This window comes from Homo sapiens, chromosome 9 (assembly GCF_000001405.40).
Source record: "Homo sapiens chromosome 9, GRCh38.p14 Primary Assembly".
Taxonomy (NCBI): Eukaryota; Metazoa; Chordata; class Mammalia; order Primates; family Hominidae; genus Homo; species Homo sapiens.
In genome coordinates, this window is record NC_000009.12 from 28,032,395 (window position 1) to 28,050,461 (window position 18,067).

The 18,067-nt window shown below is 37.7% G+C and overlaps 1 protein-coding gene across 18 annotated transcripts in view; it reads right to left on the reverse strand.

Annotated features, from left to right (window-relative positions):
* LINGO2 (leucine rich repeat and Ig domain containing 2) overlaps positions 1–18,067 on the reverse strand; it is a 1,275,985-nt gene that overhangs the window by 94,778 nt on the left and 1,163,140 nt on the right. For 4 of the 18 annotated variants that reach the window (XM_011517728.3, XM_011517724.3, XM_017014305.2 and 1 more), the window contains exon 1: positions 1,729–5,842. The exons of the other annotated variants lie outside the window; for them this stretch is intronic. The gene's annotated coding sequence lies outside the window, so the exon portion shown is untranslated. Of the gene's footprint in view, positions 1–1,728; positions 5,843–18,067 lie in introns of those variants that run through there. 18 annotated transcript variants of the gene reach the window in all.

The window sequence follows — 18,067 nt, forward strand, 5'->3', positions numbered from 1 at the left end:
GCAGAGGGAGATTCCTGTCTTTGTCAACATTACATATGATTCACATAACTAACTGCTCATGCCTTATGATTCCAGGCAATCAATGGTGAATCTAGTTACAGCTTAAGAGAACCAGGTGCCAGAAATATCTTCCATCTCTCAGTGCCTTTGGGCATTCTCATTCAGTACTGAAAGCAGCTTGACAAAGGAGGCAACATAAATGTTTTTAGTCCCTTTTACAGATGAAAACACTGAGACCCAAAATGTTCAAACATCCTGCCCATCGTCCCAGAACTAGTTGGCGACAGACCAGGAATCTTGGAATGAAAACCTATAACCCATGAGTGAGCATACAGTGACATAGATCCTGCCAGAAACACTCCACATTTTCACCCCATGACAATGGACACTGTGTCCCTGAAAAGTTCTACTTTGGTTTGGGTCTAGTAGATGGTGCCACATCAGGGAAACACTGTACAACAGAAGGGATACAATTTTAAAATAAAGTTTTCCATCAGGCGGCTGCCTTCTTTTGTCTGAGAAAGATTTGTGCCTGAAAGTTTTAGGAGACAGCATCCCAGTCAGCTTCATTCTTTCTCTGATAATTTATCCATATGAAATCCTTGCGGCTCTCAAATCAGATGAGAAATGTTCTAGAATACTAGAAAACATGGTGTAGACAGAAGCCAGTACTGTTGCAGCTAATACAAAGCCTGAAACCCTCTGCATTTGCTGCTATGATCCCTTTACTTACGTTGTTAGTTGCGTATGTGAATTGTGCCTTCCATTCCCTTTGCAAATGTTCAGTGGGCTTGCACAGTGTGTTACACTAAATAGGTGTGCATGAATTTTACCAAATCTCATTGAATTCCTATGGCTTGTCTTCAGAACTATACATGTTACATTCCAGAGTCAAAAGAAGCTCAGTGATGGGGGTGGGGCAAGAGTCAGTACCCTCCGAAATGGGAGCATGTTGGAGACACTGTGGCAATGCTAGGGAGGGGGATCTCTTATTAGCAGTCATCAAAGGTTCTTGCCCACTTGCACTGGCCTGCTGTTCTGCCCTACTGAAACCTGTGCAGGAGAGAACCATCAACAGCTTTAGTTGGTGGGAAGGGGAGGCAGAGCACTAGGAGAATAAACTGCCACGGTATAGTTGTAAAAGGCTACTGGAAAGTAAACACACCAAAATGTCAATTAGGTAATTTCATCATGGACTGATGCTTTCTCTCCTAGTTTTTTTATATTTTGAGGATGGATTACTTTTATAATGGCAAAAAAAAAATTACTTCAAAATTTTTTGCAGTGTTTCTATTCTGCCCCAATTTAATACCATCCTTACAAAGCTCACATCATGTGTGAAACTTATTGAAAAGTATAACCAGGATAATCTGCTAAATTCGTTAGGAAGACAGAAGATGTAGCTGACTTCAGTGAGAGTTTGAAGTGAATGCAACCCAAGTCATGTATAGTTCACTTGAAGGACATTTGTTCAGTCAACAAGGATTTCCCATCCCCCACACCCAAGTCCAGCCCTTTCCAGTGGGCCCTTGTGCGTTTTATTCTTGTAAACACACTTCAATATCACCTTCTCTAAGAAGGGGCTGTTCATTTGTATGAGCTTCTGTAGGTCTCCCTTCTAAGAGATGCCTTAGCGAAGCTTCATGTGCTCTGGAGGTCTCGGGCCCTCCTCCCTGTCTAGGAGGCTCCTCCAAAGTGAATTAGCTTCATTTCCCATTTTCATTCTACCTTAAACCTGTGAGGTGTTTGTTTCCTGGGGCCAGGGCTTGCTGGGGCGTTCAGCAGCCTGCACACCAGCTGCTGCTCTGCTCCCCAGTGTACATCTTGTAACAACGCAGCTCCTTTGCTGGTTGTTGAATAGGTAGAGGGGCAGCTGTGAAGGGCAGAAGAAAGCCGATTATTTCACTTTCTTTCTTTTCGGAATTCTGCTTTGTGATCTTGTTCCCTCTTAGAATGTTTCCCGAGAAGCCCGTTCTATTTAGCTCTTCTCTTGCTAGGGAGCATTTTCTGACAGTTTTCCAAAATGTGTATATTCCAGGCAGTTAGTTGGAGGTTTCGCACATATTCTAGTTAGGAAAGCTCAGCCTGGCTTTTGTGGCCCAGAAGCCCAGAATTTCAGCAACTCACAAAGAACTCAAATATCCTTATGTGTGATATTTGAAGGATAGGGCTTTGCAAGTCAGCCTAGAAAACGAGGATAATATCTCTTGGCTGTAGAACAAACTGAAAACTCATTCCATTCTGGCTTGGAGAACAAGGATTTCTCTCTCAGAACAAGTTTTCAGGGATGATAGTTAATGACCTGTCATGTTTTTCTTATGATTTCAAAAAACTAAATTAAAATTGCTACTTATTTTTATAAATTATATGTGAAATGTATTTAATAATTTAAACTTACTTCTTAAATTGCTTTTCTTCAGAGACCTTTTGTCTCCTCTCACTTGTTTGACCTCAGTCTTCAGAAGCAAACCAAAATACCATTTCAGGTAGATCAGTTAGCAATTGCTAATAAAGTGTGAGTTGCAGATTTTGAGTGTATAGAGTAAGTGTAGCTAGCTATGAGCACTGTGTACATGAGAAGTATCTATCACTGTGTCTTTCTCCATTCCACAGCTCTTGCAAACCACAGAACTCAACATCCATGCAACTCCTTAACTGATGTGCCTGTTTGGATATTCAAATACTTTCTAAAAAACCAAAAATTATGCATTAGCTTGCAGCACCTACACTCTAGAAAAATCAACCCTCAGGGTCTTTTGGTACCATGGTCTGGAGTTGCTTTTATTTTCCTAGCTTTTGTCAGCATACTGCTAACTCGGTTGATAAGTGTTCTTTCTGTTTAATGATTTATGCTTCAGAGGGATTTGTATAGGCAAAATAGATAAAGCCATATATTTCCTTATAGGACATATTTTAGATGACATTACTTTGAATTCAGAACCTGTGCTCTCACTGTGGGTATCAATGACTTCCTCAAAACAATTCAATAATTTCAAGGGCACTGTCTCATTTGTGAAGGTCTTTTACAGTTAATATGACTACCTCAGATAATTACAATACTGCTTCTGGTATGCTACAGTATATAATAGAATCCAGTGTTATTAACTGAAATGAAATAGTCGAATTTTTGGTAAATGTAACAATTTGATAATTAGCCACACATGCTATTATCCATTCCATATTCACATAATTGGTAAATGTTATGCAGTTTTATCTTCAGTGAAAACATTTAAGTATCTTGTTGACTTTTGTTTCAGAGAAAACATTTTTAAAATTCTATGAATGTCTTAGGGCACTAGAATTGAAGTGAAATACATCTTTTGAGCATACAGAGCTGACATCATTGTAGGGGTATGTTGAATATATGTTATGTATTTTATGTATTTTAGTAGAAAGGTGCTGTATGAATGTGAAAGCTCCTAATTAGCTTTTGTAAATCCTCTAGCTATGAATTGCTTTTTAAACAAGGATGAAATGATAGCAGAACACACACACACAAACACACACACACACACACACACATGCGCTAATATAATACTGACTCATCAGGCAGTTGACATGATGTGGTCATTCAATATCTAGCCTCTACTTTTAAAAAATTATTGTTGGAATAGTAGATAGGAATATAGATTTAGCAAAGTGCTTTGAGATTTAGGAAGCATCTCTACAGAATGCCAAGAAAGTGTTAAAGAATTTAAATGAGACCTAAAGGAGTTTTCTACTGGTGAGGCAGTAATTATATTAGAAGCCAAACCATCACATATTAAGGACTGTTTTGTGCTCACCATTTGTAGGTGAAAAGGCAATCTTTTGGAAGACAAAAAGAACAAACAGCCCATCATCATGTAGAAATGTAGAAACATTGTGCTGTTCACAATCTTGTTACCAATAATTAGCTAATTATTCTTTTTTACTAAAAGCGAAAGGATACATGAGCACTGCACATCATGGGAAAGGAGAGGTGTCATCAGAACAGGCTGCAGACACACATCCAGGGTAAAGTTAGCTGGATTATTGTGGGTCCTGGTTGGTCAAACCATGGTTGCCAGGAAAACCAGGAAGATTTAAGTTATCAATCTAGTTCTAGTAGACCTATGACTGAGGGTATTTATCTGTCTAGAAGGAAGAATTTTTAGTCAATGGAGGCAATAATTTTAGGCAAATATGGTTTCCATCAGAAAAGTCCAAAGGAAAAGTGTTGCTTTGGGAAATATGCGAAGAATGACAAAGGGACAAGACTTTAGCCCAAAGATTGGTGCAACCTAACCTGAGTTGACTCATAAGTCCATGATTCAATGGAGGACAGTAGTTCATTTTTAGTAGGCTAGTCAAATATCTAAAATGGAAAAATGCAAATAGATACACGTGTAAGATAAGAGACAATTAGGAAAAAAGGCTCCTTACAAAGTTAGCTCAAGAAAATTCAAAAGAAGCAGGAGAAGCCAGACTATTTCTAGACACAGAAAATATAATGACTAGCTCAGCCTCAACAAAAGGTCTGAAAGTAAAATTGGACTGGAAAAATAGAAGGTTCTCAGACCATACAAATGAGAAGTTGGGTGTTTAAGTGAGACAAGTGTAACATTTACTGCACTTAGTTACACATTAAGGGCTCTGCACACATCTTGATGTATCTGTGTATTATTCATCCATGCTGCTGCTTGGCTTATTGTGGATGAATTCCTATTTCTAAGGATCCGAGTTCAAGCAGTCAATTCAAGTGATGTTAAAGTAGGAAAACGGAAGTATGGGTGGAATAAAATAACCACATAATCACAACCTGTGTCTACTCCAGGTACGGAGACAACTCTGAATTGAACGCCTAGTTATACAAACAGTAGTTATGCAACAAACAGCAGCTGTCTGACTTGGATCTATCATCTTACCAGGGCGCACTAAGTTGCTCTAGCACCATCTCTTGCCATTTCTAGACTTAAACTTTATACTCCAGTAAGACTAAATTGCTTACTATTTCAGAACTTTTCACACTATTTACCTTGCCTTGATCTTTTCCTGCTCGTTTTCCTGTTGGGCTGCTATTCATTCTTCAACTCTTCAGCTAATCTTCTGTCTCCTTTAAAAAAAAAGTCTTCTGAGAGCTCCTCAACAGTCTTAATTACTCGTTCCTTTGCACTGCCTTGTCTCTTATAGGCTTTTTTATTCTTGCTGTTTCACACTGCATTTTAATTTGTTTGTTATGTAGTTATTTTATCCGCAGCGCTTGAGCTCTTTGGAAGAAACAGTGTCTTGTTCATCTTTGTGGCTTCATAGCTGGCATACAGCCAGAATTGCCATGGAAGGGACTCAATGAACTACCAATAAATTAGCGAATGAATGAATTAGAACCCAGGAACTCAAATATGGATCACAAATGTGGTTGCCTTTAGTTCTAGCAAATTTTCATGCAGTATCTGTAAGACACAACCTCTTAAAACACCTATTTGGAGGCAGATACTATGTTAGGCGTCAGCTACTCTACTAGTCCTTTACCTGAAGTAACTCATATACAGTGTCACCAAAACCCTGTGAGAAGGGATGTTCTCCCTTTAGATAAGGAAGCTGAGGCATAAAGAGGTTAAGTAATTTTCCCAGGATTACACAGTGAATAGTAACTGAACTAAGATGAAACAGTGGTAGTGAGTTTCAGAGCTGAGCTCTCAACCACCATACCACTTTTTAATAAGATTTTATGAAAGTTGGCTCTTCTTAGATAATTCTGAAAAATGAGTCCGGAATTTCATTTTCTGGAATGATAAGAGGCATTTTAGCTGAAGCAACCCAACATTTGTAATGGATTTAATTTGAGACCATGCCAGGACAGTTATCATGGTTCATTTAAGTATCCATTAAGTGGATGGGGAAAAGAAAACCACTATGAGACCAGAAGGGGCCTCTAATGAGAAAAAAGAAGAGGATGTGGGAAACTAAGTATCTGAAGTATTGGGAACATATATTATACAACATTATAGAGACGTGCACCTGCTCATATTCATAAATTTTAAAAAAGCCTTGCTTATGGCTGGGCGCGGTGGCTCACGCCTGTAATCCCAGCACTTTGGGAGGCCGAGGCGGGCGGATCACGAGGTCAGGAGATCGAGACCATCCCGGCTAAAACGGTGAAACCCAGTCTCTACTAAAAATACAAAAAATTAGCCGGGCGTAGTGGTGGGCGCCTGTAGTCCCAGCTACTTGGGAGGCTGAGGCAGGAGAATGGCGTGAACCCGGGAGGCGGAGCTTGCAGTGAGCCGAGATTGCACCACTGCAGTCCAGCCTGGGCGACAGAGCGAGACTCCGTCTCAAAAAAAAAAAAAAAAGCCTTGCTTATAAAATTATAACATATGTAGTAGACCCAAGCAGTGTTGAAATCAAACACTCCAACAAACAAAATGTACATTCAAAGAAAAGCAGCCTCTTTGCATGTATTTTTCAGATACTGAAGAATATTCGCAAACCACAGCAATATTTTTAAAATTCTATTTGTTTCTGTATTCACTTCCCTCAGACACCATAGTTGTTCGCTCTCTAGAAGTTGTCACTAAATCTCTTCCAAATAAACCTTCTGAATTTCCTTCTCTAGGTCTACAATTCTTTTTGATTGTGTAGCACGAAATCTTAAAGGAGTTTGGCAAGGAAAGATCTTCCTTTGTCGGGGAGTAAGGGGGAGGGAGGAAGTTTAGGGCAAAGCCAAGGACCCTTTTAGTAAGCAAGGGGAAGAGGACGGACCTCTATATGAACAATTGTTCCTCTGGCTCACCAAATTGAAAAACAAGTATAAGTAGGCCGTGGGCATCTACAAACTGAACATACATAAAGTTGTTTTCTATAAATGTTTCCCAGAGGAATAAGGCTGCACCCTTAATTTTAAGAAATTGGGCTAATAAAAGGAAAAGGCCAATACACTTGACTACGCAATTTTAAAAAGCTTAAGAAGTTCTATATATAAACTAAGTGCAAAGGTGATCTGGGATTTTTATTTGGGCAAAATTTAAGAGAACACGTTATTGCATATACTTCTAAAAGAGGCGCAACTAACAGTGGGAAGACAAGAGGGAAAAAATAAAGCTTAACAAAGGAGATGCCATCTAGGTTGCCTTGAAGGATGAGTGTAACAGGTGTGTGTGTGTGTATGTAAAAAGATGAGCAGGACACAGTAACAGTGCTATCTCTTATAATTCCATTGAGTACATGTAAGTCTTTTGGACTCTGTATATAAACAGTATTACATCTGGGTGGATATGCTGTTGACCACTGAGAAGGGAAGAAAATCTTTATATCTTTATGGAGTATACTTCTGAGTGAAGGCTAACTCAATCATGGCAAGTCTCCTGATGTCATTTCATCAGGCACAAAAGATTAGTCTTTAAATAGTCTCCCAATTAAAATTCTGTTCCTTAATAGACACAAATGCCAGTGCCTCCCTTACGTGGTGTTAGGCTTATGAGAATTTCCATTTCTGTTGTCTTTCCTCTTTGGAGTGTCCCTCTCTGACCCACCCCCTTGTGAGATATACTGGAGGATCAGCTCCATGGGGTCTTAGATGGGCTGAACATTCCATCCTCTATACATTTGCCACTCTTTGAAAACAAACTATTAAAACATGTGCCAAGCTTGAGTCCATGTGCTAATCAGCATGAGATAAGGTGAACTATTTTCATCCTGGGAGACTTTTTCAAAACCATTTTCCTTCTTTCACTGCATTTTGACTATAAATCAAATGTTGAATGATTATCACTCCCTTCCTTATAAACTAAATTTTGCCTTCTTTATTTTTTTTGCTGCTATTAGCAAAACAGATTGATTCATTAGAAGCTAGCTGCAGTCTCTTCAATTTCTCCATAGAATGCAGTTGCAGCAAAGGCAAATTACTAATAGTTTATCTTGAACAATGAGGCTCAGTGTTTGACCGGGAAGCCTTCACTACTAAAAATAAGTCTGAATTTCAAAAACTGCTGAATTGGAAGGTTCCTAGCAATGGTCCAATGTAACTTCCTTCTCAACTTTAAGTGGTTGTTCAAAAAGACAGCTTGAAGTTTTTTTTTTTTTTTTTTTTGGACAGGGATTCACTACCTCACAAGACAGATGGCTCTTCATTATTAAAATCTTTTTTCTTTCCCCTCGAAAGGTTCATGGCAGTTTCTTTATCTGAATTATGAACCATGTCATAATAGAGATTTATAATAAATCCATTGTTCCAATACTAACTGAGCGCTATCAACTTCAAATACTGCTGCTGTTGGCTATAATACATTGAGTGTCTACTACCTAATAGCTGCTTTGCCTTGACTGTTTCTAAAATCTCAGACAACATTCAAAGGAAGCTTTATTATTCCTGTTTTACTGATAAGGAAACAGACTCAGATAATTTAACTGACTTTTCCCAAAACAGACTAACAGAGCCAGTATTTTGAACCCAGGGGTGTCTGGCTCCAAAATTCACTTATTTTCCCACTAAAAAATATACTCTGCTACTTTGATCTACTGCCTATTATATCAGGCACTGAGCTAGATGCTATAGAGGTAGAGGAATTGACCTATAGTATATATTCTACCCAGGAAGTTATCAATTTGGCAGGAAAGACAGTCACATATTGACAGTATCTATAGCAGAGAGGACTTCATCCAACTGTGTCTTGTCCTCTAGGTAGAATACCACAGCACTACTGTTAGCATTTCCTTTGTAAAACTGAAGGTCTAAAACTTTCCAAAAAAGCTACCACTATTGTTGACTGAAAAATGTTCCCTCAAAAGAGATCCAAGACCATCTTTGTGTCTGAATCTAGCATCTATTCTGTCTATTGCACCTCATAAACTGTTTTCTCAGAGTTATGAGGTGGAAGAGGTCAGCACAGGTTCATACAATGTGGCAAGAATTCTGGACCAGGGTCCAGATCAACGTAACTTAGTTCACAAAAATTGTCAGAGAACAGTGCAGTAGATAGACTGGCTGTTGTCTTAATGTTCATACTGTACGGAGTGAGTGAGCTGCTTGGAACTCTTTACCTGTGTGCTTCTGTGTATAAAACCTGCTCTGAATTGTCCTTCCTTGAATAAAAATAATGCTAGGTATGTAGAATATAGAGGGGTGCTGGGTATGTGTGCGTGTGTAGTTAAGAGCTACTTAGAGGAAAATTGGCTGACATGGAAGGCTGATATAATTTAAGTCCAGCCCAACTGAGCATTCAGATGTTTTAAAGTCTCAGTTCTGACTTGAGATGTAAAATCCATCAACAAGAAAAAGTAAATCATGGAAGAAAAATATGATTTATATATTTGATCTAATCAAATCACTTTATATTTGGCAGAGATGTGAGCCCAGAGAATTATCAGTTCAGGACCACACATATTGTTAGCGACATATTATAATTTACATATATTTTCCTTTTCCATGACACCTTACCCTACAACATACAAATTTATAGTTATAATTATTGTAACTCAAAAAGTTTATAAACTCCGTAGTACCTGGAATAATATTTTCAAAACCCATGAACTACTTTAGCATGATCTTTGCAGTGAGTCAATGAGGTGCAGTAGAAATAAAACAGGTGTTAGATTCAGACAGAGCTGGTTTTAAAGCTTAGCTCTGTGACTTCCTAAGCTGTATGGTTTTGGGCAAGTAACTGAACTTCTAGATTTTCAGTTTCATCATCTGTAAAATGGGGAGAATAAAATTTACCTACATACATACTTCTAAGGATTTAATCAAATACAGTGTATAAAGCACGAAGCTTAGTACAATTACAAATGTTAGTTCCGATGAGTCAGGATCTACATATTATTTACTTCCTTTTCTTCCATTTGCTTTCAATTTAAAACTCTGGTTCATTTAAGAACAGACATGATTAGGACATGCTTCAGAGTAGAAAATTCACCCCATTAATGTTAATCTCCATGACTATCACCCCTACAACTTGCTCCCTTTTGCTCTACCCTGAGGAAATCAATCAGCTCCATATTAATTGTCAACTTGTATAAAACAGCAAAATCTGACAAATTTTGGAAAAAGATGAAAAAGTCACTGGTATATGCTGGGAGTTTGAGGATGAGCTATGTCTTTGACTGTCATATGAATATTTTTAATGGCATACTGTTTTGAGTTTTGTAGAGAAGCTATAGAAGAGGAAGTGTTATAACCAAAGTCCACCATCTTTCATCTTGAACCTCTTATTAGCATGTCTAGGATATGAAAGAAAGGTACAAATTCAAGAGGATATTTTTCCCTACTCTAATTCTCATCATGTGTCTTATGGAAAAATTCATATATTCAATCTATTTTTCAGTCTCCATTTCAGACTCCCACTATAATCAAGATAATGTACTTGCTTCATTCATGTTCTGCAATCAATATCATCTTATATTCTTTATTCTTCCCCTCTCCCCCATATATGTTATCTTTGCCTATTTTCTTCCTTCTTCCCTTTAACAAATGTTATTATACAAATAAGAGTTCTGATTAATATCGAGAGTGAAAGTTATTAATGAAACATTGCCACTTTGTCTCACTGCAGCTGAATTTGCCAGATACCTAGTTCAGTAGCACCGTGATGAGAAAAATCCCGTAAACATTTCTAAAGAAAACAGGTACACTTTAAGGGTCTAATGCAATGTGACTTGAGGATATTTCATGGTTTGAATAAAGACTGCCTAGATAGGATGCACAGGCAAATTGGGGCACCCTGCCTGGGCTAAGCCCCTGGTGTTAATGAGACACTCTGCAGGGCATCCTGGCTGCACCAACGAGACAGGTAGAAGATGTCAGTGTGTGCCTCCTCGGCATTTGAAGCTAGCACTAATTTTCAAATTTCCGTCCTGCCTGGCAGGGGAAACACTTCCTCAGACACATGATAAAACTGCGGTAAGAAGTGGAATAACAAGGCTCTGGCAAGGCCTGTTTCAGACAGCCATTGTGTTCACTAGCTGTGTTGACTGCATGCCCTCAACACTCACACATGAATAACTCAAGTGAACTGACTACCTCTCTTTACTGTACACATTGAGGAAGATTTTTCATCTGACAAGTGTAGTATGTAGAAGGAGAGTATGGCAGTCTCTGCAGTGGTTGAAGGTGAGGGGTTGAGAGACTGGAAACAAATTACGTAAATGCATGTTTGCTTAATATTAGAAAAACAACACTCCCTTGATCAGAACTCAAAGCATAAGGAATGCTGTTCTAGTTATTACCCCATTTTTGAGAACTTTTCTTTATGGAAAGTTTCAAACATATACAAAACTATGAAAGAATTAACCCTCATGTACCCATCACCCAGTTTCAACAATGATCAAATTTTGCTCAATGATCAATTTTGTTTCATCTACCACCTTTCTTGTCCCCACCCAATCCTCCACCTCACATTACATGGAAACAATCCTGGCATGACTAATTTCATCTACAATGATTTTGCATATATATCTCCAGGAGCTATTTAAAAGCCTGATAGCTACAAAACAAACAATAATTCCCTATAATCAAGTATCCGTTTAGTCAATGTTCAATTTCCCTGACATTTTTACATTGTGTTTGAATCAAGATCAAAATAAGATTGTTCTATTGCAGTTGGTTGATGTATATGTTAGTACTATTTTTAATCTATGTGTTTTCCCCATTTGGTTTGGAGTATTCTTCGAATGTGAAGCTCCATGCCTTTGTACTAGCAGTTTTAGATCTGTCTTTAAAACTTCAGGCAAGTTAAATGTCTACGTATGGAGGAATGCTTGAATCAACTACACTATGTGTGTTTGCTTAAATCTTGGGCATGATGCAGTTGAAAGAATGGCCTTTGTGAAATAAGTTATTTTTGAACCTGAATGTATCATTTGTAAAATGGGAGTAATGATACCACCTCAAGGATTAAGTACATTCATCTCCCATTATGGTGCTAAGTATATAACACCAGAGCATAAATGGGTATTTTAAATGGTATACATGTTAAAATTATATCAAATTTTTTAATGAACGTATTTCCCCATTAAATCATGTTAGATTTCAACTAAGTCTTTTTCTTCAGGGAAGGAGACAGTGGGGGCTGCCCCATGCATCATGGATCAGCTGTAAGTCTCAAAACAGACTTTCCTAAGAACATAGACAACCTGAAAGCCAGGTTTCTGGAGCAACAGCATGGGTTGCTAATTTTAAAGTCCCTCCTTTCTCATATGAAGAGATAGGCCTTATAACAATATTTTTTGTTTGGTTTGATTTTTTTTTAGGTTGACAGAAAAAACACAGGATAAAGTATGGTATGGTAGTTCTAAGTCAAGCAAGAAGAGGAAACCATGCTATCAATGCTGGTGCAGGGGAGAATCCAAACGAGCAGAGAGATGTGAACAAAAAGTCCAAACTGGAAGGGAAGAGAGTTAGGGCAAGCAGGTGGGAAGCATGTGTCTTGGCTTCTCTCTCAGGCATATGTTATAAGGAATCAGAGACTTTTCCGTAGGTTGAAGAGAAAGCTGAAAGTGCAGGGGTGGTTTCCCTTTCTGTACTTAGAAAATTTCACCTTTAACTCAGGGCCAAATCCAAAGTAATATAGGAGCGATGGTGTAAAACTGATAAAGATGGTTAGACAGACGAGCAGAAAACAGTTTTCCTGACTCCCATGTGCATTTCGTAATCCCAGTGTGCCAGTGGGCCCAGGGGAGCGAGTGTGGGGGCTCTGAGAAAGCCAGTGAACCAGTAGAAGTCAGGCAATATAATAGAAGAGGAAAAAATTGAGACTTTTTCCCCCCCATCCTTATGATCCCACATAAGCCATTTTCCGGTCCATTCCCACCACTACCCCTCCAAAAAAAACCCACACACACACAAACTACAGATTGTCTTGTAAAGAAACAGATGGAAAACAAATCTAAAACACTGAGCCTGTAAAATACGCTCAGTCACCCAAGGGACTATTTTTAACCTCACCCTGACAGAGGGAGAGTTAAACTTTGAGTATTTTATAGACAGACTGCTTAAACTGGAAGAAATTAAGCTATTATGAATTGTCAAGTTTTCCGAATTACCTAATAAGAATCAAGTTAGCTCTAGCAACTTATAAAGCTATATTCTCTTTGCATATCTGAATGTTGTGTAATTTGACTCTAATGCACAATGATACAGGGGAAAAGTAGAACTCAGAATTTTAAAAGTGATTATAAACATGTAAAATGAAGTATGAGAGAAAAGATTGAGAATTATTGTTCTAAAATGTAAATAGTTTGTGTTTGATTATGGGAGCCTAGAGGATTTTCTTCTTACTCTTGTCATTTAATACTTACAGATATTTTTAAACTTGGAATATTGACCAAATTAAACACATTACAATTAATAAGCAATGATTGAACACTAATTTTCACAGGTACTATGCTAAGCACTATGGAAGATAAAGGTGGATGAGACATGGCCCCAAAGCCAAATGAACTTACAGCGTGGAGAGACATATGGGTAAGCGGCAAGGGAATTCAACACTGATTATCTCCTAGCTATGAGAAACTACAATGTTCTTCCCATCTACTACAACCCACCTCCTGAGGATTTCAATTCAGTTTGATGATGATGAAAAGCAAAGAGTTAAACTATGATAACTCAGGTTTCTCTTCATTTCCTCATGTGTCCCTTTGGCAAAAAGTTTAGACCTATAATGAGGATGATCCATGCCTCCACTAGTGGACATAGCTTGGTATGATGTGAGGCATCCATCCGTTTTTGGGATACCTGAAGTTCAGCTAAATGTTATTTCATAGTTCACATTATGAAGCCATTTATTGGCTAAAACCACTTTTTAAATGAGATCCTTTTGCTATTTCAATAGCTAACTTCCCTTAGATGCAGTATACGATTGATATTGCATTGAATGCTATAAAAGCATACTGTGTGACAAGAAGAAGAGTTTAACAGTTTAACTCTGTACAGGACCATTAAGAATTTATCTAGGTTAGAAGTTCTCCAGTCTTAGCCTGTATCAGAAGCATTTGCATGACTTGTTAAGATTCAGACTGGTGGACCCCACCCTCACTTTCCGATTCAGTAGTCCGGAATGGGGTCCACCAATTTGCATTTCTAACTGTGGTTTTTGGTGGACGCTACTGGTCCTGGACTTGCACTTTAAGAACCTATAATTTAAGCCAACTTCCTTTGCAGTTTAGGAATACTTTTGTAACTTTTTCCTCTGCTTAAACACTTCAGAAGGTGAAACACTAAATTGCAAAGTCAGTTTTACTGTTGGACTGGCTAATTCTTAAAGATTTTACTGTCTCCTTGAAATTTCTGTTCATTATATTTTCCCTCCTGCTCATAGTAGCTCTTAAAATGTCTTATTTTAACCACACCTAAAGTTCCCACCTCTCAACCATTTATTCCACATATCTCCTCTTTATCTACCACGATATTGTCCCCTGATGCAACTCTGTTATATAAGCTACTCAAAGTATGTGGCCAAGAACACAACATTGTTGATGTTGATCCACTGGGACTATCACCTTCCATAAACTGACGTGTATCTATTAACACAGGATTTTGCTGGATTTCACTACTTTAAAGAAATTGTTGTGGAAACGCGTTCTGGGTATGTGATTTGAGAAGTTGTAGCACAGTGAGATGGGAGAAAGCATCCTGGCTGCAAGATAAATGCTGCTGCTGGGAATAGGCCTCCCCTAGCAGCCCCTAAGTAATGCTTAGCAGATTGTAGGGAACCCAAACAATCCCCATAAGCAGACAGTAAATAGATTAAGAGAGCAATCAGTGGCTTAACATGTGGTCAGTGACTCCACTATGAAGGCTAGACAGGTAGGTATTGCAAGGGTGGAGATGTACTTCGTCTTTCGGCCACTTTGTATGTAAGTTTCCCCTACATAACAAATCTTTGGCTACCCACCAACCTGTAGTGATCTGACTCTTTGGTCGGAGCTTGCCCTCCTTTTATGGAGGATGATTGTAGGTTCTGGCAGGGAGTTCTCCCAGCAGCAATCATGTCACTTCATTGGGTCATACTGTATGAAAGATCTACTAAACAACTGAGTTTTTTCATATTCAAACAGATAGTGGCCTTCCACTTCTTTTCCAGTTGAAATATTAACTATAGCACAGTAACTTTTTATTCAACATTTTCATAGTTCTTAATTCCAGTTTAATAAATACAGGACGGCAGTTAAGAGCATGGCCTTCAAAGACAGTTCTGGGTGCAAATCATAGCTCTACTATTTAACAACCATGTGGCCCTAGACAGCTTACATGATCAATCTACACCTCAGCTTCCTCGGGAGAGTTATGGTGATAGTAACGGTAGCTACCTTGTGGGAGGTCTTCTATGAATAACCTGAGATAACATAATTAGCACAATGTCGGGTGCATATTACATGCTTAGTAAATGTTAGCTGTCATTTTATTAAAAGCAATAGAACACTTAAAATTATACTGAACAAGAAAAGAGCAAAGTATTTTTTTTACAGAAACCTATAAATCTTCAGAAGAATAAAGGTAGGTATAATTTTTGCCAGAATGGGACTAAAAATTACTTATCTGTTCACCCCAGGGAAATTTACAGATTTAGTGCAACTTCAAAGTAGCAATGTGATTTTTTAGAATCAACGTAATTTCCACAAAAAATATGAAAAGTGTGACTGTAATAGAAAATAAAAAGAAAAAATCTAATCACATTAGACATTAAACTTACAAAGAAGTTTTAGAACTTAAAACTGCATGTACTGGCAGAAACACAAAGCCACCTCAGTGAGAAGGGGTAGGAAAATTAGAAATAAATCCAAAACAAATCAGCTTTCCAAAAAAGGGGTAAGACATTTAATAAGGATTAAAATATAACAATTTAGGAAACAAGTGTTAGAGGCATGCCTTACACAATGTAATAATCCACAGAAGAAACTCGGGAAACACATTGCCCCAACTAAATCTATAAATACAGAAAGCCTCTACTAAGTGAAAACATTGTAATTAAATTTTTTGTATAACAATAACTAAAATTCAGAAGGAAATCTCAAAGTGAAAAAGCTGGGTAAGCCAATGACATGAACATCAAAATTACATAAATATTAATAAACAAATACCGAGGAAACACTATCCCAAATGGAACCTGAAGATACCTTTAGTCACCTATTAAAAAAGCAAATGGATTAAGAAATATTGTATTCATTGCCAGTGAAAGTAAGGAATCCATTTATTTATTTATAGTGATCTTATAAATTGGCATACCTCTTTTGGACAGTAATTAAGCATAATAATTTATAGACTGATTCGGTAATTTTATTCTCTAGAATTTCTAATTATTCAACAAACAATATATGCACAGAACACTTATCTACGATGCCAAAAGGCTGAAAATAGCATAAATGTCCAAGATTAAAGGAAAAGATTTAATAAATTCAACCTAGAAAAATATGTAATCATTAAAATGATAATTATGAAGGATATATAGAAATGTTAAAAGTACCACAATCGATGAAAATAGCAACATATATATGTAACTATATATATATGTAGTTTGTGTTTGTGTTTATGCCAACATATATAGTTATGTTTATGCACATAGAACAAATTCTATCCCGAGTGTAACAAAGCAAATGCATGTATGTGAAATATAAAAGGCAAAAAGTACTAATAGCAGTATTAGAATTATGATTAATTTTTAAATCATTTAAGCATTCTTTGAAGTTTTCTTTCCAGTATAAATTAAAATTAACTTTGAATTCCTCTTCTGTAACAGAGTAATGTGTTTGCACATCACTAAGTGTATGCAATGCCTTCATGTCTTCATGCCTTTATCCTAGTCAGCAATGCATCATGGGACAACATCAAGAGCTCTGTGGCCCATAGTCATCCCTTGTACTCACCCAGCATGTGTTTACTGAGCCGATATTCTGGCTGTCTTTTGTATATACAAGAATAACCCAATATATCTCAGCCCTGTTGGTCTAGTGGAGGTAGACATGTCAATGATCATTAAGTTACAACATAGTACGTACAGTACTAGGGTTAGGCTATTTTAGAACCCCCAAGGTGGTATCAAATTCAACATAGCAGGTAATAAAACATATTAGATCTTATTTCTACGGGATGGGTAGAGTTAGCGAGGCAAAAAGGATAAGTGGCTGGAGGAAAGACATTGCATATAGGGACTAGGCATGAAGGTAGGAAATAGCATGGTGAGTAAGAAATATGTTTGCAGTATGGAAGGGCAAGGGCTTCAGGTTCATGTTTAAGTCTAGATTTTACCGCTTATTAGCTTATTATTCAAATCTTATCTAAAAATGCAAATAATTCCATTTATGTCACAAATTGATATAAGGATGAAATGAGACCAAATGTGTAAAGGAGGCATTATAATGCCTGATGCGGCAGGTCTAACAGGTCTATTTCAAGGGCTTTGACATTACTGGAACCAAGTACAAGGTGGGATGAGGTAGGAGGTAGGAGACAATCAGATCATGGAGAACTTCTTCATCAAGGCTAAAGCGGTTGGACTCCATTCCATAAGTCACTGAAGCCTCTGAAGATTTTTAAATCAAGAGAGCAACATGATCAGGGTTGTTTTTCAGATGGATCACTAAAAACTGTCTTGAAGCTGGATTTGATGGGGCCAAGCCTGGCAGCAAGGTCAGTTTGTGGGCTGTTTTAATAGTTCTGGAGACAGTGAAGGCTGAAGCAGGAATGGAAATGAGGAAATGGTTGGAGAAATATTCATCAGGTAAAAAGGTAGGGCTTTGTGATTAGATTGAGATGGAAGGAGAGAAGAGTGAGGGGTCAAGTATAACTAGCTCTCTAGTGTGGGTGGCTGAGTGAAGCAACTAAAATTCTGAATAAAAAGGAGGAACAAATTGAGGGAAGGCAATGAGTTATTGGTACCATGTGCCTGGCAGTATACTCAGTTCTGAGGTTACAAAAATGAGTAAGACATACTTCCTGTCTGTAAGGAACTCACATGCTGGTAGGGAAGACAACCAAAGAAATAAAATACACTTTGGTTAAAGCCCCATATCTGGAGTCTTGACAGCAAAATATTTAATATCTAATCATAAGGAAATCAGATAAATCCTAAGTAAGGGATATTCTGCAAGACAATCTAAAAACTCTTCAAAAGCTATT